Genomic DNA, 26,345 nt, shown 5'->3' with positions numbered 1-26,345 from the left:
CAATAACAGTTATTAAACCTAGAACATTTTCAGGTCTTATTTTCTCAAATATATTTTTTTGCCCTCTCCTGTCTCTCTTCTCCTTTGGAGACTTCAATTACTTGTATATTCGGCTGCTTGAACTTGCTCCTGGCTCACTGGTTCTCTATGAAAACACTGTCCTGCTTTATTTTAAATTGTTTCAATTGGTATATCTTCAAATCTACTAATCTATTTTGGTTTCTAATTTGCTATTAATCCTATTCTCTCTCTCTCTGCTTTTTTTTTTGTTGTTGTTTTTTTGACACAGAATCTTGCTCTATTGCTCATGGTAGAGTGTGGTGGCAGTCATAACTCATTGCAGCCCCAACCTCTGGGGTCAGGTGATCCTCCTGCCTCAGCCACCCTAGTATCTGGGAGGTTCATGCCACCATGCCTGGCTAATTGTTTTGTAGAGATGGGGTCTCCCTATGTTGCCCAGGCTGGTCTCAAACTCCTGGGCTCAAAGATCCTACCACCTTGGCCTCCCATAGTGCTGAGATTACAGGCATGAGCCACTGTGCCCAGCTCCTCTGGTTTTTAGCTTTTTTTTTTTTTTTTTTGAGACAGAGTCTCACTCTGTATCCTAGATTGGAGTGCAGTGGTGAGATCTTGGCTCACTGCAACCTCCGCCTCCCAGGTTCAAGCTATTCTCATGCCTCAGCCTCCCAAGCAGCTGAGATTACAGGTGTGCACCACCATGCCTGGCTAATGTTCTTGTATTTTTTAGTAGAGACAGAGTTTTGCCATGTTGGCTAGGCTGGTATTGAACTCCTGGCCTTGAATAATCTGCCCACCTTGGCCCTCCCCAGGTGCTGGGATTATAGGCGTGAGCCACCTCACCTGGCCCCCTCTGCATTTTTAAATGTGAGACATTGCATTTTTTTTGCTTTGTGTCTTTTTGAAAAATGTCTTCCAATCTTTCCTTAGCATGCTCGTGTTTTTTTCTAGCTTCTTGAACATATAGAATATTGTTATAATAACTGTTTTAGGAGACAATATCCTTGTCTACTAACCTATGTCATTTCTAGTTTCATTTTTATTGGTTTATTATTCTCCTCTTTATGGGCTTTATTTTCCTTATTTGCATGCCTGCCAGACATTGTGAATTTTACCTTGTTGAATGCTAGATATTCTTATATATATGAAATATTTTTGAATTTTGTTGTGGAGCTTTGTTGCTGTTAAGTTACTTGGAGATGGTTTGATCCTTTTCAGACTTGCTTTTAATGTTTGTTAGGACCAGAGTAGCCTTTGGTCTACGTTAATTTTGCCTCACTATTGAGGGAATACTGGGAAGAGTTTTCACTGGGAAGCAATATGGGTAGTGTAAAGAACACTTAAACAGGAGTTCCCCAATCACTGATCTAGTTGTGGCTCTGTCATTTACCAGCTGCTTAGCCTTGAGTTTATTACTTCTCTTCTCTGACTCTGTTTCCTCACTGGAAAATAGAGACAAAGATTCAGACACAAATTCTATAAAGTGATATATAAATATTGTAAAGAAAGTTGAATATTAAAAAAAAAAAGGCACCAGAAGCAGTGGCTCATGCCTGTAATCTCAACTAGGGAGGCTGAGGTAGGAGGATTGCTTGAGCCCAGGAATTCCTTTGTATTATGTCCTATGTATTACAAGGTTTTTTTTTTTTTAACTTTAGAATATATTATGTCCTAGTCCCATGTATTACATGGTTTTTTTTTTTTTTTTACTTTACAATATATTATGTCCTATGTATTACAAGGTTTTGTTTGGTTTTTTACTTTAGAATCTATTATGTCCTAGTCCTATGTATTACATGGGTTTTTTTACTTTAGAATCTATTATGTCCTGTGTATTACATGTTTTTTTTTTAACTTTAGAATCTGTTACGTCCTATGTATTACATGGGTTTGTGTTTTTACTTTAGAATTTATTGTGTCCTATGTATGACAAGGTTTTTTTCACTCTGGCTTGTGAGAAGACCATTCCTGTTTCTATGAGCTCTGGAGAGTGTTCTGCCTGTTTCTTTCTGGTGCTTCTTTCCTCAGCCTTGGGTAGTTTTCTCACCTGGATGTGCTGATTGGTTCTCAGCTGAAGACGTCAGGTCGGGGCACTCTCTGAGGATCTCTACAGTTTTCTCTCAGTGCAGCTGTCTCCATTCCAGTATTTTGCCTTGTGAACTCTAGGCACTTTGGCTTCTCTGAGCTCTCAACTCTGCCTTCCCAACTAAGACCAGTGGGCTCTTCTTTGCTTCCCCTTCCCAGAGCTGGAGCCTGAAAACTCTCTAGGCAGTGCACTTAGAGGTAGGGCTTACCCCTTTTTTCCCCTTCTCTCAGGATTATTGTCCTTTGTTGCCCCTTGTCCAATGTCTGAAGATTTATTTTTTTATATATTTTTCCTGAATTTTATAGTTGTTTAAGTTATTAGGTATGTTAATCTTGCCCTGTTACTCCATCTTGCCAGAAGCAGAATTTAAGTAAGTTATTTAATCTCCTTATGTTCAAGTTTACTCATCTATAAAATGAAGATAATACTCTGAGTTTGTGAAGATTGAATAAGATAATACACACAAAGCACTTAGTATAGTTCCTGGCACATGCTGAATGCTCAGTAAATGTTAGTTGCTCAATATATTGTTGGCACAAAAAAGAGGAGAGCATAGCTTACACCAGTCTGAGCAACTAGGATCAGGAGCCAATTTATTTCATTTTGGCTCACTGTCTCTGATTTATATTAGGGTTCTCCAGGGAGACACAACCAATAGTAGATAGAAAGGTAGATAGGTAGGTAGGTATGAAGATAGATGAGAAGGGATTTGTTAGGGGAATTGGCTCATGAGATTATGGGGGCCAAGAAGTCTCATGACAGGCAGTCTGCAAGCTGGAGACCCTTGGATGCTGGTAGTGTAGTTCAGTCCAAGTCTGAACCAGCCTTAGAACCAGGGCAGCCAATGGTGTAATAATACTCAGTCCAAGGCTAAAGGCCTAAGAACCTAAGGGGCACTGGTGTAAGTAAGTCCTGGAATTCCAAGGCTATAGAACCTGGAGTTCTGATGTCCTAGGACAGGAGGAAGGGACTATCCCACTTCCTGGAGAGAAACAGGAAATCCTTTTCTTTCCCTTTTTGTTCTCTCCAGTTCTGCAGCCATTTGTATGGTTCACCCACATTGAGGGCAGATCTTCCCTACTCAGTCCACTGACTTACCTGCCAATATTCTCTGGAAACACCCTCACAGACACAGCCAGAAGTAATGCTTTACAGTTCTCTAGGTATTCCGTAATCTTGTCAAATTGACACCTAAAATTAGCCATCACAGAAGTATTAAAAAGCAAGAGCTATTAGTGGAAATGTTTTTAACCCTTTCCTCCCCTCTCCTAATTATTTACTTTTACCAGGGCTAAAACATGAATCTTAATACTCTAAATAATGTACAAGGCAGTAATTTTCTTTAAAACCATTTTGTTTTAGTTCTAGGTCAGAATAGTATAGTAATTAGGAGCACAGTCTGGATTGAAGTTCTTGCTTTCCCTTTTATTAATCTGCAGCAAAGTTATTCTTTCTAATCCTCAGTTTTACAAATGAGATGCCACCACATACTTTATAAGGTTGTTCAGAGAATTAAATAAGTTAGTGCATATGAAGTCCTTCAGCACAGTGCCTGTCACGTAGTTCAGGCATAATAAATGGTAGTAATTATTAACTTTACTTATATTAAAGTTCATTTCGGAGATCTAAAACTGAAATGACCCTAACTCCAACTTTCTAGGGTATGCTTTCCTTTCTTTTTTGTGGCCTTTTCTTTCTTCTTCTATTATTATTTTTTTATTATTTAAGGAATTAGAGTCTTGAGTCTTGTTCTGCCATCCAGGCTGGAGTGCAGTGCCAGGATCATAGCTCACTACATCCTGGAAGTCTTGGGCTCAGGCGATCCTCCCGCCTCAGCCTGCCGAGTTGCTTAGATTACAGGCATGAGCCACTGCTCCTGGCACCTTTTTTTTTTAATATGCAACTTACATTCATGAACAGCCTGGCCAACATGGCAAAACCCCATCTCTACTAAAAAAAATATTAAAAAAAAAATTAGCTGAGCATGGTGGTGGGAGCCTGCAATCCCAGCTACTCGGGAGGCTGAGGCAGGAGAATCGCTCGAACCTGCTAGGCGGAGGTTGCAGTGAGCCGAGATCGTGCCACTGCACTCCAGCCTGGGTGACAGAGCGAGACTCCATCTCAAACAAACAAACAAACAAACAAAAAACTTAATATTTGTATATCACTTTGATGTCTGAATCTTTGTCTCTATTTTCCAATGAGGAAACAGAGTCAGAGAAGAGAAGCAATGAACTCAAGGCTAAATAGCTGGTAAATGACAGAGTCACAACTAGATCAGTGATTTGGGAACTCCTGTTTAAGTGTTCTTTACACTACCCATATTGCTTCCCAGAGAACTATTTTATTTGTGTCTACATTTACATACTGTTCACCAACAATGGACTTTATATTTTTTCAAGGCAAGGATAATGAGGAACCCTATCTTTGTATTTCACTTAGTGGCGAGCATTCAATATATAGGTATTATTTACATGATATCTATGAAAGGAAAAACATAATTTTTCTGTTACTGTTTACTTCCCCAAATTGAGGGTGATTATTGAGTAATTAATACATGTTTGTTTAAGATACTGTTAAATGGCAATTCTTTCTTCAAAACATGGATGTGCAAATTTACTCTTGAGACATTGTAATTTTGAAAGCAAATGTCTTCTCTGTAGGTAAATTTACTGCATTTTCTTTTCAGTATAAAGCTTTCCTAGAATCACATCAAATGGAACTGCTACTTGCCAATTTCAAGGAAGTTATAGCAATTCCTCTAGTAGATTCTATTTATAGATCAGATGTCTATGACTAAGTATAGTTACTTACAGCTAAATCTGATCAAAGCAGTAAGCTCAAAATAGCTTATGTGGAATTTAAAGCAAAGAAGGGAGGCAGGATGTTTCAAAGGATGGACGTTTCCCATTTTTTTCTGAAAAATAGTCCTTATTTTGAAAATGGCTTCGTTCTTCCATGTTTGCTTTCAGAAGCAAAACAAAACAAAATACCTTAACTGCTTTTTATGTTTTTTGCCTATACTGTAGTATCCTTACAGAGAGAGAACTTTCTTTGGGGCAGTGATTACTGACAGAGGATTACTGTCATTTTCGGAAGCTAGTTTTGGTCACATCACTCTGTAAACTTCGTATAGTTATTTTGTAGTATTCTTATATATTTTCTTAGCTAATGATTATAGTCTTCATAATTACCTACTAAACAAGCTTGTTTATAAAATCTATCACTCTAGATGATAAATCTACATTAAATGGTACTTGCTCATAATTAAAATATCTAGTGAGTGCATATGTTGAACAGTGGTAGTTTTGAAGATGTGGTTGCAATCTGTAGATTCTGAACTTCTTCACTATCTCTTCTCCAATAGATGAATTCTGCTAATAGCCCCTAGGATAGTAAGTGTTACTGTATTAGCAAAGCAGCCTAGCATATTCCCCTTGATTTGGTCATCTCTTAAAAAACACTGGATGCTTGTAAGAAATTAAACTTTTGTGTACCATATGAAGGGCCTCATAAAGTATCTGAAGGAGTAAAAATGAAAGCCAAACTCCAGGCTTTTTTTTTTTTCAACATTTGTAAAACAGGAATAAAACCTTCCTTATATTTTTATCTCCTCTCTATCTTGAACATCTGGCATAGTACCTGGTATGCTTGCTAAATATTTTTTATTTGAAAAATGAAAGGATCCAATGAATAATGTGACAATATTTCCAAGGTATAAAGTTATCTTTAGGGGTGAGGTCACCTGTATCCATTGTTCTCTCATTTTCTCTTTTCTTGCTCTTTTTGCTCCTCTAACCTGCTGTTATGGCCTTCTTTGCCCCTCATCCCTTTGCTATATATTAGAAGAAAAGAGGGGTTCAGCTAAATGCAAGCTTCAGCTAGAAACATACACTGTTCTGGAAGGGATTTAGCTAACCACATTTTACTGTTGGAGGCATTTCTAGGTTTGGAAATGATTTGTCCAAGGTCATTTGGTCAGTCAGTGTGTGGTTTATGGCCCCATTCTCCTGACTTCGGTGTTTATTCCCCTACAGCACAAATCTTGCTGCTTTCCCCCACATTAGATGTTTGCCAGCTGGGCCATGTTGGTGGGGTTAGGGGCCATTGAGATTCATTGAGAAGAAAGGAGAAGGAAAAGCTGACCATCAGCATCTACGAGTCCCTGGCCTGGCCCTTTAGTTGGGAACAATTATTGTTACCCAGTGTGTAGAACAAAGAGCGTAATCTTGGAACAAATAGACATCAGTGTCTTCTACCTCTTTCCTTCTAATTAAAAAAAAAAAAAAAAGGATAAACTATGAACAATAGGGAGGTGCGGAGGGAAAATGGAAGCTGGTGGAGGATTCAGGGAACATGGCTGGGACTGTAGGGAAAGAAAAACATTGCCATGTGGGTGAGTGAAATGCTGCAGTTTCAAAGCAGCAGTAATTTTACACTGAAAGTTCTGTAATTATGTGCGTGGCTGTTTAATAAAAATATCCTGTAGTGAAATTACTACATATTTACTCTGTATTTGAAATGAAGCATATCTTAAATACATGTCATCATGGGATGGGTACTACCTCTTAAATTTTTTAAAAAAGGAAATTAGATGTTTTTAGTAGTAGCTGTTCAGAAGTTTTCCAACTGTGGATGATCAATTCAGAGTTACCTGATTAAATCTATCATCTGTCATTGTTGAAGGTTTCCTGTTTGCTGGACTCTCTTTTTTAAGGCGGGGAGGTGGTAGGGGGAAACAGGGTCTTGTTCTGTCATCCATGCTGGAGTGCATGGGCACAATCACAGCACACTGCAGCCTGAAACTCTGGGATCAAGCAATCCTCCCACCTTAGCCTCCCGAATAGCTGGGACTACAGGCACACACCACCACGTCTGGCTAATTTAAGTATAATAATAATAAAATAAAAAAAATTCATTAAAAAAATTTTTTTTTTTTTTGGGGCTGGGTGCAGTGGCTCACGCCTGTAATCCCAGCACTTTGGGAGGCTGTGGTGGATGGATCACGAGATCGGGAGTTCAAGACCAGCCTGGCCAAGATGGTGAAACCCCGTCTCTACAAAAAATTCAAAAATTAGCCGGGCATGGTGATGGGTGCCTGTAATCCCAGCTATTCGGGAGGCTGAGGCAGAGAATCGCTTGAACCTGGGAGGCAGAGGTTGCAGTGAGCTGAGATCAGTGGCCTGGGTGACAGAGTGAGACTCTGTCTCAAAAAAAAAAAAAATTTTTTTTTTTTTTTTTGGTTAAGATGAGGTTTTGCCATGTTGCCCAGGCTTGTCTGTTTTCTGAACTCTTTTTTTTTTTTTTTTTTTTGAGACAGGGTCTCACTCTGTTGCCCAGGCTGGAGTGCAGTGGTGCAATCTGGGCTTATTGCGACCTCTGCCTCCCTGGCTCAAGTGATCCTCCCACCTCAGCCTCCCCAGTAGCTGGGACTACAGGCAAGTGCCACCACGCCCAGCTAATTTTTTTTTTTTTGGTAGTACTGGGGTTTTGCCATGTTGCCCAGGCTGATCCTGAGCTCAAGCGATCTGCCTGCCTCAGCCTCCCAAAGTGCTGGGACTACAGCCATGAGCCACCATGCCTGGCCAATCTGTTTTCTGAACTCTTGAAAGAAAATTTGTATGGAAACAAATGGTTCTATTACTAACTCCTTACATGTGACCCCACTGTGAAAAAAACTGGTAGCAAAGATAGTTAGGTTGAATCTGTACAGACATGCAAGCTACCTGTCCTGAGGTTGAAGAGTGTGTCCTGGGTTTCTAAGTGTTGGAACCTCATGACTTAGTATGTAGGAGCAACAGTTTCACTGCTTTAATAATGGTTACTATGACCTTGAGTTAACTGTAGTGTCAGTGCTTCTCAAACTTTAAAGTGCACCTGAATCACCTGGGGATATTCTTTAAAAGTTGGATTCTGATTCATTAGATCTGGGGCAAGGCCTGAGTTTCCGCCTTCTAACAAAGTCATGCACCGCTAATGCTGCTGGGCCAGGGACAACATTGAAAAGCAAGGATTTGTAGTGTTCCTTTTCTCTTACTCCCTTCTCTCTCTATAGTTCTCTCTTTCTCTGTGTTTCTTGAACCATGGGTGTCTCCATCTGTCTCTCTCTCTACTACTCTCTTTCACTATTTCTGTCTTTACTTCTCTGTATCTTTACCTTTCTTCTGAGATAAGTCTTAATTTTTTTCAGGGAAGTCTTTGGATAAATATATTATTATAAATGTAGTCATATATGCAGATTGGTCTATGTTCAGTCATTGGTATTACAGTGAGAGTTCACATAGATGGAGAATATGAGATTGGACAAGATATAGAATAGTTTTTATGTAAAATGTTCATTTGCCTATCAAAATGGGTATTATGTCACTTTAAAGAAATACAGTATGTAGGAATTCGAGGTTTAACTGAGGAGAATATAATGAAGGTGCTATTTATAGAGGTTTGAGCAGGGTTAAGGAAAGTGACAGGATGGTAAGATATCTGGGACTAGCTCACCCACCAAGGAAGCAGTTACCACCTTCTCTAGGTCAGAAGGAGAAAGGAGGAAATAGTATGATTGAAGTCTAATGAGAGCTTGTTAAGAAGGACTGTGTGATAGAAGCTGTAGCTTCAGAGGAATGAAGCCACTGAAACAATTGCAGTGAGGCAGGGAGGGAGTAAGGCGTCTTGGGAAAGGGATGGGGAGTAAATACTTTGATAGCTCTCTGTCCCCTTGCATTCTTAACTCTTGCCAGTGCCTCTCACTGGCTAAGCCCCACCCAAAGCCACAGAGCAAGAGAGTGCAGTTGTCTGTATAGGTTGGCTTCCTGGTATACAGAGGGAGGCGATAAGGCAGGGTTTGGATATAGAGGGTGGGGTTTATGCAAAGAGCATATTCAGAACAGAAGGGATACATTTTGATTTACAGATAGGATTCAGTCTTAATGTAAAATGAAGCATATATATGATTTCATCTCATGTCTACTGTATATTCCTATTACTCTTATATATATATTTTACACATTTATTCTGAAAGTTTTTATAGATAGTAATTTTCACCATGCTGTGTGAATCCTTTAAAAAAAGGGAGTTCTATATAAATGGTAACATCAAATTCAACTTGTTCTCTAGATTTTGTTTACTTCTGTAAACGTTTATTATATTTAAGGAAAGGAGATGAACTAGTTGGTAGTGTTGACATTTCTTTTTAAGGTGATGAAAGATATTTTAAATGAAGCATGAATCTTTGAAGAATCTGCCAGTTCATTTTAAAAACATGACCAATGCTCTGAAGTACGTGGATTGTATGAAGAAAGGAGTCTTCCTATTTTAACACCAGTCTTTTATTTTGAATGACCTGTTACTAATCTAATACTTGTTATGATGACTGATCATTCAGTGGACAACCTTTTTCAAATATTTCTGTAGTTGACACATGTTAATGATACAACAGGGAGACTATAGTCAATAGTTTAATGATTTATCAGCATCATTTATTGATGAGACTGTCCTTTCCCCCAATGTATGTTCTTGGCACCTTTGTTGAAAATGAGTTTATTGTAGATGCATGGATTTGTTTCTGGGTTCTCTATTCTGTTCCATTGGTCTGTGTGTCTCTATGCTAGTACCATGCTGTTTTGGTTACTATAGTTCTGTAGTGTAATTTGAAGTCTGGTATGTGATTCCTTCAGTTTTGTTCTTTTTGCTCAGGATAGCTTCAACTATTCTGGGCCTTTTCTGATTCCATATACATTTTAGGATTGTTTTTCTACTTCTGTGAAGAATGCCATTGGTATTTTAGGATTTTTTTTTCTACTTCTGTGAAGAATGCCATTGGTATTTTGATAGGGATTACATTGAATCCGTAGATTCCTTTGGGCACCATGGACATTTTAACAATATTGATTCTTATAATCCATGAACATGGAATATTTTTCCATGTTTTGGTGTCCTCTTCAGTTTCTTTCATCAGTGTTTTATAGTTTCCATTGTAGAGATCTTTCACTTCTTTGGGTAATTCCTAGGTATTTAATTTTATCTGTGGCTATTATAAATGAGATTACTTTTTTTGATTTCTTTTTCAGATTGCTTGTTGTTGGCATATAGAAATGCTACTGATTTGTGTATGTTGACTTTCTATCCTGTACTTTACTGAATTTGTTTATCAGTTCTAATAGTTCTTTGGTGGAGTCTTTAGGTTTTTCCAAACATAAGATCATATCATCTGCAAACAAGGCTAATTTGTCTTTTTCTGTTTTAGTATGGATGCCCTTTATTTCTCTCTCTTGTTTGATTGCTCTGGCTAGGACTTCTAGTACTATGTTGAATAACAGTGGTAAAAGTAGGCAACCTTGTCATGTTCTACATCTTAGAGGAAAGGCTTTCAGTTTTTCTCCATTCATTATGATACTAGTTGTGGGTCTGTCATATATGGCTTTTATTATGTTGAGGCATGTTCCTTCTATACTCAGTTTTTTGAAGGTTTTTATCATGAAGGGACGTTGAACTTTATCAAATGCTTTTCCAGCATCAATTGAAATGATCATATGTATTTTGGCCTTCATTCCATTAATATGATGTATCACATTGACTTCTGGGTTAAATCCCACTTGGTCATGGTGATCTTGTTAATGTATTGTTGAATCCAATATGTAATGTCTTGTTGAATCCAATATGCTAGTATTTTGTTGAGGCTTTTTGCATCAATATTTATCAGAGATATTGGCCTGTAGTTTTCCTTTTTTGATGTGTCTTTGGTTTTGGAATCAGGGTAATACTGGCTTCATAAAATGAGTTTGGATGTATTCTCTCCTTCTCTATTTTTAGGAACAGTTTGATTTGGTATTAGTTCTTTTTTAAATGTTCGTTAGAATTAAGCAGTGAAGCCATCGAGTCTCGGGCCTTTCTTTAATGGGAGGCTTTTTATTACAGCTTTAATCTCATTACTTGTTATTGGTCTGTTCAGGTTTTGAATTTCTTCAGTGGCTCAATTTTGGTAGGCTGTAGGGGTCTAGGAATTTCCATTTCTTCTGGATTTTCCTATTTATTGGCATATAGTTGTTCATAGCAGCCTCTAATGATCCTTTGAATTTCTGTGATATTGGTTGTAGTATCTGCTTTTTCATTTCAGATTTTATTTAATTGAGTCTTCTCTCTTTTTTCTTAGTCTGGCTAAAGGTTTGTCAATTTAGTTTATCTTTTCAAAAACCCAACTTTTTGTTTCATTGATTGTATTTTTTTCATTTCAAATTCATTTATTTCTGCTCTGATCTTCATTATTTCTCTATTAATTTTGGGTTCAGTTTGCACTTGCTTTTTTAATTAAGATGCATCATTAGGTTATTTATTTGAGGTTTTTCTTCTTTTTGATGTCAGCACTTATAGTCATAAATTTCCCTTAGTACTGCTTTTGCTGTATCCCGTAAGTTTTGATATGTTATGTTTGCATTATCATTTGCTTCAAGAAAATTTTCATTTTCCTTCTTCATTTCTTCATTGACCCATTGGTCATTCAGGAGCATTTTGTTTAATTTTCATGTGTTTGTATAGTTTCTAAAATTCCTCTTTTTGATTTCTAGTTTTATTCCATTGTGGTCAGGGAAGATACTTGATATTATTTCAATTTTTTTTTGAAATTTTTAAGACTTCTTTTTTGACCTAACATATGGTCTATCCCTGAGAATGACCTATGGGCTGAGGAGAAGAATTTGTACACTGCAGCTGTTGAATGAAATGCTATGTAAATATCTATTATGTCTATTTGTTCTATAGGGCAGATTAGGTCCAATGTTTCTTTGTTGATTTTTTTGTCTGGGAGATCTGTCCACTGCTGAAAGTGGGCTATTGAAGTCTCCAGCTATGATTGTATTGGGGTCTGTCTCTCTTGTTAGCTCTAATAATATTTGCTTTTTCTATCTTGGTGCTCTGGTGTTGGGTGCATGTATATTTACACGTGTTATATCCTCTTGGTGAAATGACCCCTTTGCCATTAGATAATGACCTTCTTTGTCTCTTCTTACAGTTTTTGTATTGAAATCTATTTTGTCTGATATAAGGGTAGCTAACCCTGGTCTTTTTTATGTTCGCATGGAATGTCTTTTTCCATCTCTTTATTTTCAGTCTATGTGTATCTTTATAGGTGAACTGTGTTTCTTGTAGGCAAGAGATCATTGCATCTTGCTTTTCTCATCCATTCAGCTTCTCTATGTCTTGATTGGAGAGTTTAGTTCATTTACATTCAGCATTATTATTGATAAGTAGGGATTTACTCCTGCCATTTTGTCATTTGTTTTCTCGTCACCACTGTAACACTATAGACAGACCTCTATTAAGTACTTATTACTTTTTATTGTGATTATCTGCATATCTTTTTTTTCCTAACCGCTATGATCTAAGAAAGTAGGGACAAGGATTATGACTAATTCATCTTTGTATCCCAGTAACTAGAACTCACTAAGTAAGAAAAATGTTAAAAGAATGGGTGATTGAGAGAAGAGGAAATCAGAAGAAGTGAGTATTTTAAGAGAAAAACTTGTTGAGAAGAAAATATATTGTGTTAGATTTGGTTTGCCTTTGTGGGCAGAATGTCATATGGGCTATAGGAAATCTTAGATAGGATTGCATGTTTGTCCATGGGTTTATCAACTTCACAGGATTCTTATTTGAAATTTGGCCTTGTTTCTTTACATAGTTAAATGTAGTTAGTAAATGATAGAGGAAAATAGAATGGTATTTTCAACATGCATACATGTAAGAAAGAAAGAAGTTGTTGAGCTAACCGCTGCCAAATTGTAGCACGTTCTTTCCTTTTGTGTTCAGTTTTACATAGTATTTAGCACTTAGCCATGTGCAAATAGATGTTTAATAAATATTTGACATGTACCATATTTTGTGTTGGTTTTAAGCAACTTGTGGTAAGTGACATTTAATGCTACTGTCTTTTTGCACATCATTTTTTTAAAATTCCTATTCCCTATGAGAAGGATTTAATTAGAAATGTGCACTGGATTCAGTTTTGGTACTATTTCTATATTGTTTCATTCACTAGTAATGTTTGGCAATATTTCTAATAGACTAATAAATTCAAATTAAAAGGAGAAGTGATTAGAAGTAATACACAGACAAATATGCATGTGTACATGTGTTAATATCAGCACACAGATTTAATTCTTTTCTTATTTACAAGAATGGGCTTCACCAAAGAGAACAAGATTTCTGTTCTTCCAGCATTTGCAGAAACAGCCTCTAAACCGGGGCCCTGAGCCCATTAGCACTAATGAAAAGAGTCACCCAAGGGAGTAAGATGGATGGCTTATGCTTGCATGTGGTAATCTCATGTATGTTTTTTTGCTACAAATAATTTCCCAAAGCTTGCTTCTGTGTTTTCAGGTTTATGTGCTTTTTTCCTGGTAGCTAAGCTGTTAGTAATGATGCTTATGTTTCATTACAGGCATACCTTAACATATTGAAGGTTCAGTTCCAGACTGTTGCAATAAAGCAAATACTGCAATAAAGCAAGTCATGAATTTTTGGGTTTCCCAGTGCATATAAAAGTTATGTTTACACTGTAATGTAGTCTATTAAGTGTGCAAAAGTATGTCTAAAAAACAATGTATATGCCTTAATTTTAAAATATTTTATTACTAAAAATTCTAATGATCATCAAGCCTTCAGCCCTTTGCTGGTGAGGGGTCTTGCCTCAATGTTGATGGCTGCTGACTAATCAGTTCAGTGGTTGCTGAAGGTTGGGGTGGCTGTAGAAATTTCTTAAGACAACAGTGAAGTTTGCTGCATTGATTGACTCTTCCTTTCACAAAAGATTTCTCTGTAGCATGCAATGCTGTTTGATAGTATTTTACCCACAGTAGAAATTCTTTCAAAATTGGAGTCAATCTTCTAAAACCCTGCTGCTTCATTATCAACTAAGTTGGTATTATATTCTAAATCCTTAATTGTAATTTCAACAGTGTTCACAGCATCTTTACCAGGAGTAGTTTCTATCTCAAGAACCATTTACTTTTCTCATCTATAAGAAGCAACTCCTCATTTGTTCAAGCTTTATCATGAGATTGCAGCAATTTAGTCACATCTTCACTGTGTTCCACTTCTAATTCTAGTTCTCTTGCTATTTCCAACACATCTGCAGTTAATACTTCCTCTGCTGAAGTCTTGAGCCCCTCAAAGTCATCCAGGAGGGTTGGAATTGACTTCTTCCAAACTTCCATTAATGTTGATATTTTGACCTCCTCCTAGGAATCATGAATGTTTCTAATAACATCTAGAATGGTTAATCCTTTCCAGAAGGTTTTAAATTGACTTTGTCCATAGCCTTCAGAGGAATCACTATCTATGGCAACTATAACCTCACAAAATGTATTTTTTAAATAATAAGACTTAAATATTGTATTAATCCATTTTCACGCTGCTGATAAAGATATACCTGAGACTGGGCAATTTACAAAAGACAGAGGTTCAATGGACTTGCAGTTCCACGTGGCTGGGGAGGCCTCACAATCATGGTGGAAGGCAAGGAGGAGCAAGTCACATCTTACATGGATGGCAGCAGGCAAAGAGAGAGAACTTGTGCAGGGGAACTCCTTTTTATAAAACCATCAGATCTCATGAGACTTATTTACTATCATGAGAACAGCACAGGAAAGACTTGCCCACATGATTCAGTTACCTCCCACTGGGTCGCTCCCACAACACATGGGAATTCAAGATGAGATTTGGGTGGAAACACAGCTAAACCATATAATTCTGCCCCTGATTCCTCCCAGGTCTCATGTCCTACATTTCAAAACAGAATCATGCCTTCTCAACAGTCCCCCAAAGTCTTAACTCATTTTAGTATTAACTCAAAAGTCCACAGTCCAAAGTCTCATCCAAAACAAGGCAAGTCCCTTCCACCGACGAGCCTGTAAAATCAAAAGCAAGTTGGTTACTTCCTAGATATAATGGGGGTACAGGCATTGGGTAAAATACAGCCATTCCAAATGGAAGAAATTGGCCAGAACAAATGGGGTACAGGCCCCATACAAGTCTGAAATCCAGAGAGACAGTCAAATATTAAAGCTCCAAAATGATCTCCTTTGACTCCATGTCTCACATCCAGGTCACACTGATGCAAGAGTTCCCATAATCTTGGGCAGCTCTGTCCCTGTGGCTTTGCAGGGTTTGGCCTCCCTCCCAGCTGCTTTCATGGGCTGGCATTGAGTGTCTGTGGCTTTTCCAGGTGCATGGTGCAAGCTGTCAGTGGATCTACTATTCTGGAGTCTGGAGGACTGTGGCCCTCTTTTCACAGCTCCACTAGGCGGTGCCCCAGTAGGGACTCTGTGTGGGGGCTTCGACCCCACATTTCCCTTCCTTCCATACTGCCCTAGCAGAGGTTCTCCATGAGGGCCTCACCCCTGCAGCAAACTTCTGCCTGGGCATCCAGGTGTTTCCATATATCCTCTAAAATCTAGAAAGAGGTTCCCAAACCTCAATTCTTGACTTCTGTGCACCTGCAGGCTCAACATCACTTGGAAGCTGCCAAGGCTTCAGGCTTCTACCCTCTGAAGCAAAGCCTGAGCTGTACTCTGGCCCCTTTTAGTCATGGCTGGAGCGGCTGGGACACAGGGCACTAAGTCCCTAGACTATACACAGCAGAGGGACCCTGGGTCCGGCCCATGAAACCATTTCTTCCTCCTAAACCTTCAGGCCTGTGATGGGAGGGGCTGCCATGAAGACTCTGACATGCTTTCTCCAGGGCTGACATTTTCCCCATTGTCTTGGGGATTAACATTCAGATCCTTGTTACTTATGCAAATTTCTGCAGCCATCTTGAATTTCTCCTCAGAAAATGTGTTTTTTGTTGTTGTTGTTGTTGTTTTTTGTTTGTTTCTATGGCATTGTCAGGCTGCAAATTTTCCGAACTTTTATGTTCTGCTTCCCTTATAAAACTGAATGCCTTTAACAGCACCCAAGTCACCTCTTGAATGCTTTGCTGCTTAGAAATTTCTTCCATCAGATACCCTAAATCATCCCTCTTAAGTTCAAAGTTCCACAAATCTCTAGGGCAGGGGCAAAATGCTGCCAGTCTCTTTGCTGAAACATAACAACAGTCATTTTTGCTCCAGTTCCCAACAAGTTCCCCATCTCCATCTGAGACCACCTCAGCCTGGATTTCATTGTCCATATCATTATCAGCATTTTGGTCAAAGCTATTCAACAAGTCTCTAGGGTGTTCCAAACTTTTCCACATTTTCCTGTCTTCTTCTGAGCCCTCCAGACTGTTCCAACCTCTGCCTGTTACCCAGTTCTAAAGTCACTTCCACATTTTTGGTTATCTTTTCAGGAGCACCCCTCTCTACTGGTACCAATTTACTGCAGTAGTCCATTTTCATGCTGCTGATAAAGACATACCCAAGACTGGGCAATTTACAAAAGAAAGAGGTTCAATGGACTTGCAGTTCCATGTGGCTGGGGAGGCCTCAGAATCATGGCAGAAGGCAAGGAGGAGCAAGTCACATCTTACACGGATGACAGCAGGCAAAGAGAGAGAACTTGTGCAGGGGAACTCCTCTTTATAAAACCATCAGATCTCATGAGACTTATTCACTATCATGAGAACAGCACAGCAAAGACTTGCCCCCATGATTCAGTTACCTCCCACTGGGTCCCTCGCATAACACATGAGAATTGAAGATGAGATTTGGATGGAGACACAGCCACACCATATTGAAACACCAAAATCACTCCATGATTTGTGGGCTTCAGAATGTATATTGTGTTAGCAGGCATTAAAACAACATTAATCAGTCTCCTTGTACATCTCCATCAGAGCTCTTGGGTAGCCAGACGCGTTGTCAGTGAAAAGAAATCAATCTTCTTTTGATCAGTAGGGTCTCAATAGTGTGCTTAAAATATTCGGTAAACTATGCTGTAAACAGAGGTGCCATCATTCAGGCATTGTTGTTTCATTTGTAGGGCATAGGTGAGTAGATTCAGCATAATTCTTAAAGGCCCTAGGATTTTCAGAATGGTGAATAAAATGACTTAAAGTCATCAGTGGCATTAGCCTGTAACAAGAGAGTTAGCCCATTCTTTGAAGCTTTGAAGCCAGGCATTGACTTCTCCTCTGTAGTCCTAGATGGCTTCTCTTCCAATAGAAGGCTGTTGCACTTAAATTGAAAATCTATTGCTTGGTGTAGCCACCTTCATCAATGATCTTAACTAGATCTTCTGGATAATTTGCTGCAGCTTCTACATCAGCACTTAATGTTTCATCTCATGCTTTTATGTTTTAGAGACAGCTTTTTTCCTTAAACCTCATAAACCAGCCTCTGCTTGCTTTTAACTTTTCTTCTGCAGCTTCTTCCCCTCTCTCAGACTTCATAGAACTGAATAGTTAGGGTTTTGCTCTAAATTAGACTTTGGCTTAAGGGAATGTTGTGGCTGGTTTGATCTCTATCCAGATCACTAAAACTCTCCATATCAACAATAAGGCTGTTTCGCTTTCTTATTCCTGTGTTCACCAGAGTAGCACTTTTAATTTCCTTTGAGAACTCTTCCTTTGCATTCATAACTTGGCTGTTCAGTGCAAGAGGCCTAGCTTTTAGCCTGTCTTGGCTTTTGGCCTATCTCAGCTTTTGACCTGCCTTCCTCACTAAGCATAATCATTTCTAGCTTTTGATTTAAAGTGAGAGATGTGCAACTCTTTCTTTCACTTGAACACTTAGAGGCCATTATAGGGTTATTACTTGGCTTAATTTCAGTATTGTGTGTCTCAGGCAATATGGAGGCCTGAGAAGAAGGAGAGAGACAAGGGAATGGCTGGTTGGTGGAGTAGTCAGAACACAAAACATGTATTGACTAAGTTTGCCATCTTCTATAGGCATTGTGGTATCCCAAAACAATTACAATAGTAACATGAAAGATCACTGATCGTAGTTCACCATAACAGATATAATAATAATGAAAAAGTGTGAAATTGTGAGAATTACCAAAATGTGACACAGAGACACTAGGTGAGCACTGTTGGAAAAATGGTGCCAATAGACTTGCTCAATGCAGGGTTGTCACAAAACTTCAATTTGTAAAAAATGCAGTATCTGCAAAGCACAATAAAGTAAAGTGCAGTAAAACAAAGTATGCCTATACAATCAGTCATTTCATGGCCTTGTTTTCCAATTTTGAATATCAGCTAAATTATCGCACCAGAGTTGTTCATGTGTACTGGTGATAAAAGAAAATTAATGTTTCTGTGTTTCAGATTTACTATTGTTGTCTTAGTGAGAAGGATACCGTTGTACTCAGCTTTGAGAATGTTGTACTTTGCTTTTAAAACAACCAAAGAAAATAACTTTAAAAAAAGCAACTGCCATTCCAACATATCTTTTATTAAAGCTTTATAAAATATTAAATTTGTGTAAAAATAATATTCTAATTAATGTTTCAAGATAGCTTTATTGCAGGGTATCAAGGAAGTAGGTCTCCTGATTTCAAGTGCCTTATTCACAGTGTTCTACCCAGGATCCCAGAGGAAGCTGCAGACTTAGTTAAGTGAGCAGGATTCTAGCACTGTGCTCTGCCTCTCTTCTCTGTTTGCATTTAAGCAGGCCCTTTTTAATCTGTTTTTTATACTGGAATTCTGGTTAAGATTTTGTTTGAAGAAAGATCCTGGCTGCTTCAAGATGATGATGATGATAAAGACAAAAGGAGGAGAGAGAGAGAAAGAGGAGAAGAGAGGAGAGAGGGAAAGAAGAGAGGTAAATATTTTGGCTTAGTACTCAGATGTTTTAGAATGAGACCTGACTGCAAGCTCTATGTCATCTTGGATAAATTACTTCTGGGCCTTGATTTTCTCTTCTGTTAATTAGAGATGTGGCAGGGTGGGGTGGGGTAGGGAAGGTTTAAAGTAGATTATCTCAAAGTGTATGGTATTTTTATAATGTCATGTATATTGCTTGGAATGGAGCTATCTGAGCTCTGTGCCCTGACCCTGCCACTCTCACATCCCCAGGCCAAATGGTATTGTGAAGTTATCTAATCCTGACATTGATAAGACATCTTTCCTGTGTCTCAGAATTAATCAAAATGCCCAGTAGGGTAGCCTATTGTGATCTATAAACACAGCTTCTCTTGTTACCAACATGCACCTGCTTGGCATTTGGCAGATGGTGCTTGGACTTACCATGAATCAGGTTATGTTTCTTGATATATATCCATATACTTACTACTTGTTACTTGACACCAGGTGAATGCCACTGAATCCAGAAAGGATTTTTCTTTTCCTCCAAATGTGTTAGATACTAAGAAAAACTGAAGCATATACAGAGGCATTTATTTTCTAACTTCAATAAAATATGTCTCATATGAAGAACATGGATTATTGGATTTGGGCTAAGTGGATTATTAGATTAAGTTGGGTAGCTGTTTTCCTTGACCCAATCACTAAACCAATTTGCTTGATCAATTTAAAATTTGATTTGAGAGGCTATCACAGACAAAGGTTGTGTAAATGGGTGAGGTACATGACTACAGTCAAACAAACCATTTTTTTCTTCTGATATGATTCTTATATGATACCTAAGATAGATAGCCACTAGGGGTAATGGAAGAGGTTTTCTTAAACAGTTTTTTGTACTTCTTTTATTTGCTACTTAATTTTAGTTATTCCAACCCGTATTCTAGAATTCAGTTCATAAACTTAAGCCTATTGATAGTTAAAAATTATGCCAAACTGTTTTTACCCTTATAGCGCAGTGGAATGTTCTTATTAATGATGTAATCTCATTTTTAAAGTTATTACTAGTGATATCTTAGGAATTGATTTTGTTATATAGTTCAGTAATGTTCTAGAGAGGTAAGGGAACCATAGTACTTCATAGGTAAGAACCCATCCCCATATTACTTAGCTGAAGACAGGCGATGTGAAGGTTATATAGAAAAGGGAGGAGTAGGATAGTAAAGAAGGACAGAGCAAAGAATAAGAACCCATTGGAAACTGAATGAAAGCCGCAAGTGAGGAGGGTCAGGAATCATAGTGGTCCTCATTCACCCACTACCTGTAGCTCCTCCATTATAGACCAGTGGACACATGGGTACCTCAGGCTGAATGCAGACAATTGCTTCAAAATAATAAGTTCTCCTTGGCATGAAATGTTTCATCTACTAAGTAGAAGAATGAATTTTGTGATATACGAGGGTATTACTGGCTTAGGACAAGGCTTTGCTTCCTAATTGAAGGTGCTTTGTGGGACTATTAGCATACCAGTTGATTCCTCTTGTGTTGCACTGCAAATTGCTGATTAACTGCTTTTATGTATGCAGAGCTGACATGTTGCCTCATTTAGAAACAAAGTGTAGTGCTCTAAGGAACTAGTCAGAAGTTCAAACTGACATTTAGAAATTGTAAACCCACAGACTTCATGACAAGTAATGCTGTCAGTTTAAATTATGGCTTTTCTACCTCGAGATGGATAAAAAGAGCTAGTAATAGAGCCTGTGACCAGTGTATTAGAGACAGATTCTGCTCTAGTGAGCTGAGAGATTGTGCTATTTGGATCTAACATTCAGTTGTACTTCCTTTTCCTTGGATATTTTCTGGGTGATCAGACAGTGTGAAGGGTCGGTGCTGTGGATGGTTGTAACACATGCATATTAGTTCGACCAAAAAATGCTCTATTCTTGCTTTCAGGGAGATTATTTAATAACCAAGTTAGGAAACTGAGAATAAATTGAGAGTTTAATTCTCAAAATAAGGTACTTTATGTTAACATGAAGAAGTTTAGCAACAATTTCATTATCTGGAAAGACTGAATTATATAAAGTATGTGGAATGAGGGTAAAAAAGAGCTTAAAGAAAATAGCTCCCTCTTTGATTTTGGTATTTCCTAGCCAAGTACTTTGCCACCTTACCTGTTTTTACTATCTATCTGGCATTTTGATGAACTTTTCCCCAGCTAAATCGACGAATCGGCTCTCATGTTGCATCCCAGTGTAGCGTGGTGTTGCCTGCTGCTCTGGAGTCCTTTGTGACTCACCCCTGGTGATTAGGGGTCCACATTGGTGGGTCAAGGTGTGTATTGGATGGGGAACACTGGGGAAGAAAACTAACTTTTCACCTGTTACTCTTTCTTTCTGTTCTCTTAGACTACATGTTTATATAAAGTGTTTGAATTTTAGAATGTAAAAAACTCAATTGACTTAACAAAATCTGTCTGGAATTGACAGAAATTTGATAAAAGTGGCTGGGCTTGGTGGCTCATGCCTGTAATCCTAGCACTTTGGGAGGCCAAGGTGGGAGGATCGCTTCAGCTCAGGAATTCAGGACCAGCCTGGGCAACATAGTGAGACCTTGTCTCTACAAAAAGTTAAAAAATTGGCCTGATGGAGCATGCCTGTAGTCCTAGCTACTTGGGTGGCTGAGGCAGGAGGATTGTTTGAGTCTGGGAGGTTACAGCTGCAGTGAGCTATGATTGCACCACTGTACTCCACCCCTTGCTGACAGAGGCTCTGTCTCAAAAAAAAAAAAAAAAAAAAATAAGAAATTTGATAAAAGTGATTTCTACCTAATGACTAAACCAGTGGCTCATGTAGAGAAATGGTCACTATACTGGTCCTCTCCCATCTACCCTTTATTTGGGGAGGTACATTATAGTGGGGAATCCTGGACTTGGAGCCAGGAGGTATGGGTTTAGCATCTGCTCTTTCATGCCTTGAGCAATGCATTTCATTTTTCTGAGTCAGTTTTTTAATCTGTAAAATGAGGATACCTATTTATGTGTATTTATAGATTTATTGTGAGACTAAAATGAAATTGGAGTTATTCTGTGGACTATGATGTTCTATGCAGACATTATTATTATTATTATATAGCATGGCCAGGGCCAGATTCTTGGGCATGCCACCACTGTAGTTGCATGGGGTCTCATGCTCAGAAGGAGGTCTTGTGCTGGGAAATTAATGTGGTTGCTGTCTTGACATTCTGAATGATAATTTTTTTGAATTTATATTTTTTAACTGAATTCAGATAATGGAGCATGTGCTGGGACGTGAACCCGCTACGAGCCAGCTTTTTGTCAGTCCCTACTTACTTGCAACAGGTTCTCAGCTGCCCACTCCCCTGTGCCTACCTCAGTGACTACTGCCACTCTCCACCCCTGACAGGGCTTGGGTTTGGACACAAAATGAGTATGTTTGGGTGTGCACCTTGCACACAAAGTCATGGGTGGTATCCTGGGTGCCTGTGAAAGTCCACAGTGCCCTTCAAGTATCCTCATGCCTGAGGGAGCACAAATTAAGTTGCAAATATTTTTTAAAAAGTATAACTTGTTGAGAGCGTGACCATGGGGAAAAAATGAAAAAGTTTTTCCTGTTTTTTGAACAAGAAGCCCCTCATTTTCATTTTGCACTAGCCAAATTATGTGGCTGCCCTATGAAATAAATAACTGGCTCTGCTCTTCAGAGCCCTAGAGATTTCTCAGGAACCCCATGGACTATGTAATAATGACCTTGACTAGGGCTTTTGGTAGGGATAGAATAGAGGAGAATCCAGTGGATGGAGAGTGAGTGAAAAGTGAGGAAGTGGGAAGTGTAGACAGCAATTGACACAAACCTTGTTAAAAAGATTGGCCTTGAAGAGAAGGGAAGAGAGTAGTAGCTGGAGTAGAAGATAGGGAGAGGGGTTGTTTGCCTTTCCTTTCTTAGAAAGAACAGAACATGTTTATGTGTTAATATGATGAAGTTAGTTGGGAAGGAAAAGTTAAATATAGTCATTTGCAGAATATTTACTGAAAATCTATCATATCATTTTTGCTATTCACTCTTGAACTGAGGTTCAAAAGTTTTCATTTTCCAAAGCAACAGAAGGTGCCTTAGATTCTATTCTTTATACCCGAATAGAGGAGGGCAGTGTGAGCCCCTTTAATGTGGCTCAAGGCCAGCCATATTTGGCTATCTTCTCCCCGCTGCAGTGGGCTGGTGCTGGAGCAGAAGGCCACACAATTCGTTGTTCTGGACTCCATAGTAAAGCAGGGTGATCTTCTGCCCTTCAGCACTATAGTTGGGTGTGAGATCTGTTGGGCTTTTGAATACTCAGCCATGCAACATGCTGGGGGCAGCTGTCACATTGGCTCTTTGTGGGATCTGGACAGCTTTTGGCCGTGACTACTATTCTTTGATTCCTTGAGGAATTGGAATGAATTGGCTTCCACTTTAATAGAATATTTATTAGAACTTGAAAGTAGTGAATGGGAGTATTTAGACTTACTGTATTTTTGTTTATTAGTGAAATGGATAATAATCTCTACCTCACAAGTTTGTTGAAAGGATTAAATTAGATATGTAAAATGCCTAGTGCAATGTCTGGCACATGATTAGATGTTTGACACATTATTAGTTTTCATCTTGATTCTTCTTTTTTAAAAAGGTAAGTATTGTGTAGATATACCTTCCTTGATGCACCAGAGATGGTCATAAAATCAATTTAAACTTGTAAAATATGCTAGATGGGATTAACACCGAAATAAAGCTTTCCGTGATAACTCCTTTTCCAAAGGGGGAAAAATACTTTTGCAAAGAAAATATCTTCAATTTATTTTTTAGAAATATTTTCCTCCATAGTGTTCATTTAAATAAGGGCAAGTAGATTTTAACCTCTGTGGATCATCCTTTTCTTATCTGTAAAGTCTGGATAATAATACATAGCATAGTGTTTGTATGAAGTTTATGTGAGAATGATGGCTAGCACAGTGTTAAGTGCTCAATAAATATTAGCAGTAATGATTATTTTCTTCAACTGCCTATTATTTTGAGATTATTTAGAGATCCTGTGTTTTTAAGTACCTATACCCATATTTGTGGTAGTAAAGTGGGGTGGGGGGAGGGGGGAGGGATAGCATCGGGAGATATACCTAATGCTAGATGACGAGTTAGTGGGTGCAGCGCACCAGCATGGCACATGTATACATATGTAACTAACCTGCACAATGTGCACATGTACCCTAAAACTTAAAGTATATTAAAAAAAAAGAGTATTCTTTATTTTTGAAGATGGTTAAGACATGTTGATATATATATCAGTAACATTAGGAAGAGGCAACATTGAGTCATGTGCCAGTGCTGTCTGCTTGCTTTCTTGTTTGTTCTTTTATTTATTTATTGTGGTAAAATATGCATAACATAAAATTTACCATTTTAACCATTTATGTGTATAATTTAGTGGTAGTAGGTACATACGTAACTGTTAACACCTTCCACTCTGCAGCTCTGGAACTGTTTTATCACCCCAGACAGAAACTCTCTAGTCATTAAATACTGACTCCCCATTCTTCCTCCCCCAGCCCCTGATAACCTCTTTTTTACTTTCTGTTGATATAAATTTGCCTATTTCAGGTACCCTGTATAAGGGAAACTATAAAATATTTGTCCTTTTGTATCTGGTTTATTTTACTTAGCATAATGTTTTCAAGGTTCAGCCATGAGGTAGCATGTTTCAGAATTTCATTTTTTTTGGCTGAATAATATTTCATTGTATGTACATACCACATTGTATTCATCTATGTATTTGATGATGGATACTTGGGTTGTTTCTACCTGCTGGCTATTGTGAATAATGCTATTATGAACACTGTTGGATAACTACCTGAGTCCCTGTTTCAATTTTGAGGGCTATATACCTAGAATTGGAATTGCTAGATTATATGGTATTTCTATGTTTAACTTTTTGAGGAACACCAAACTATTTTCCACAGCAGCTGCACCACTTTCCATTCCTACGTGTGGTGCACCACAGTTGCAATTTCTCTACATTCTCACCAGCACCTTTTCCCCCCATTTTTAAAATAATAGCCATCCTAATGGGTATGAAGTGACTATATCTTATTATGGTTTTGACTTGCATTTTTCTAATAACTAATAACATTGAGTGTCTTTTCATTTGCTTGTTAGTCATTTGTGTATCTTCTTTGGAGAAATGTCTCTTCAAGTCCTTTGGCTATGTAAAAAATTGGGTTGCTTGTTTCTTTTGTTGTTGAATTATAGGAGTTCTTCATATATTCTGGATATTAATCTCTTATCAGGTATATGATTTGCAAATATTTTGTCCCATTCTGTGTGTTGTCTTTTTACTCTCTTTGTAGTGCCCTTTGATGCGCAAAAATGAGTTTTTATATATAGTATAAGGTAAGGGTCCACCTTCATTCTTTTGCATGTGGGTAGCCAGTTTTTTAGTACCATTTTTTGAAAAGACTGTCCTTTCTTCATTGAATGGTCTTTTGTACGCTTGTTGAAAATTTAGCGATCAGTCGACCATATGTGTGGCTTTATTTCTGGGCTCTCTGTTCTGTTCCATTGGTCAATGTCTGTCTTTATGCCATTATAACAACTGTTTTGATACCATTGCTTTATAGTAAGTTTTGAAAGCAGAAAGTGTGAGTACTCCAACTTTGCACTTCTTTTTTCAAGATTGTTTTGGCTATTCAGGGTCCCTTGAGATTCCATATGAGTTTTAGGATGGCTTTTTGTTCTGTCTACTTTTTATACATACATTCATTTAAATTTTAAAAATAACAGCTTGAAAAAATTTGTGAGTAGTCCAAAAATACAATCCTTAAGGCCTCATTGGCTTGCAACATATAAGGCAATACATTTTTCTCTCTATTAACTTCTTCTGGAACTCTTGTTTGATGCTTTTTGAACCATCTTATTCTAGCTTTCTTGTCTCAACGTATTCTTTTCTGTGTTTACCTCTTTGTCTGTCCTGTGTTTTGGGATTTCCATTATGATTTTATTAGGTTAATCTTCCCAGCCACTAGTTATCAGCTGTGTATTATTTGGACTGCCTGTTGAGGTTCCCTACCCCAATGAAGTACCCTCTTTTTTATTTCTAGAGTTTCCATTTGATTCTTTTTTCAAATCTGCCTTGTTATTTTTCATGCTGTCCTTTTTTTCTCCTTATTACCTCTCTTCCTTTCTTTATCTCCTTCAACATTTTAAACATGGTTGTTTGAAACATAGTTATTTTAAACTGTTTTTTAGACTGTTAAATTATATCTAACTCTTGTGGTGCAAATTGGCCCATCTACATCACTATCCTGGTGGACAGGTACAGTTTTTCCAGTCCCTATTTCATGGGCAGACCTTGGTAACTCTTGGTTTTATTCAGGTGGCTCATTCCTACCAAGCAGCTTGCATGAAGCCTGCAGCCTGGGTACCTCTTGCTGAGGGGGTATCAGTGGGCTACCCCCAAGTGGTTGAGGCTAATGACTGACTCTAA

At 38.2% G+C, this 26,345-nt stretch overlaps 1 protein-coding gene across 11 annotated transcripts in view, besides 1 other annotated feature; it reads left to right on the top strand.

Moving 5' to 3' along the window:
* TTC28 (tetratricopeptide repeat domain 28) overlaps window positions 1–26,345 on the top strand; it is a 701,827-nt gene that overhangs the window by 300,914 nt on the left and 374,568 nt on the right. The window lies entirely within an intron of this gene.
* Window positions 8,752–9,046: a silencer, noted in NCBI's record as "tiled region #5107; HepG2 Repressive non-DNase unmatched - State 19:H4K20". NCBI's record gives its function as "represses a minimal TATA promoter and a strong SV40 promoter by Sharpr-MPRA in HepG2 cells {active_cell/tissue: HepG2}" and the evidence as "EXISTENCE:reporter gene assay evidence [ECO:0000049][PMID:27701403]".

This window comes from Homo sapiens, chromosome 22 (assembly GCF_000001405.40).
Source record: "Homo sapiens chromosome 22, GRCh38.p14 Primary Assembly".
In the NCBI taxonomy this organism is placed as follows: Eukaryota; Metazoa; Chordata; class Mammalia; order Primates; family Hominidae; genus Homo; species Homo sapiens.
The sequence above is the reverse complement of the archived record's forward strand: the minus strand, read 5'-3'. Positions and strand labels throughout refer to the sequence as shown.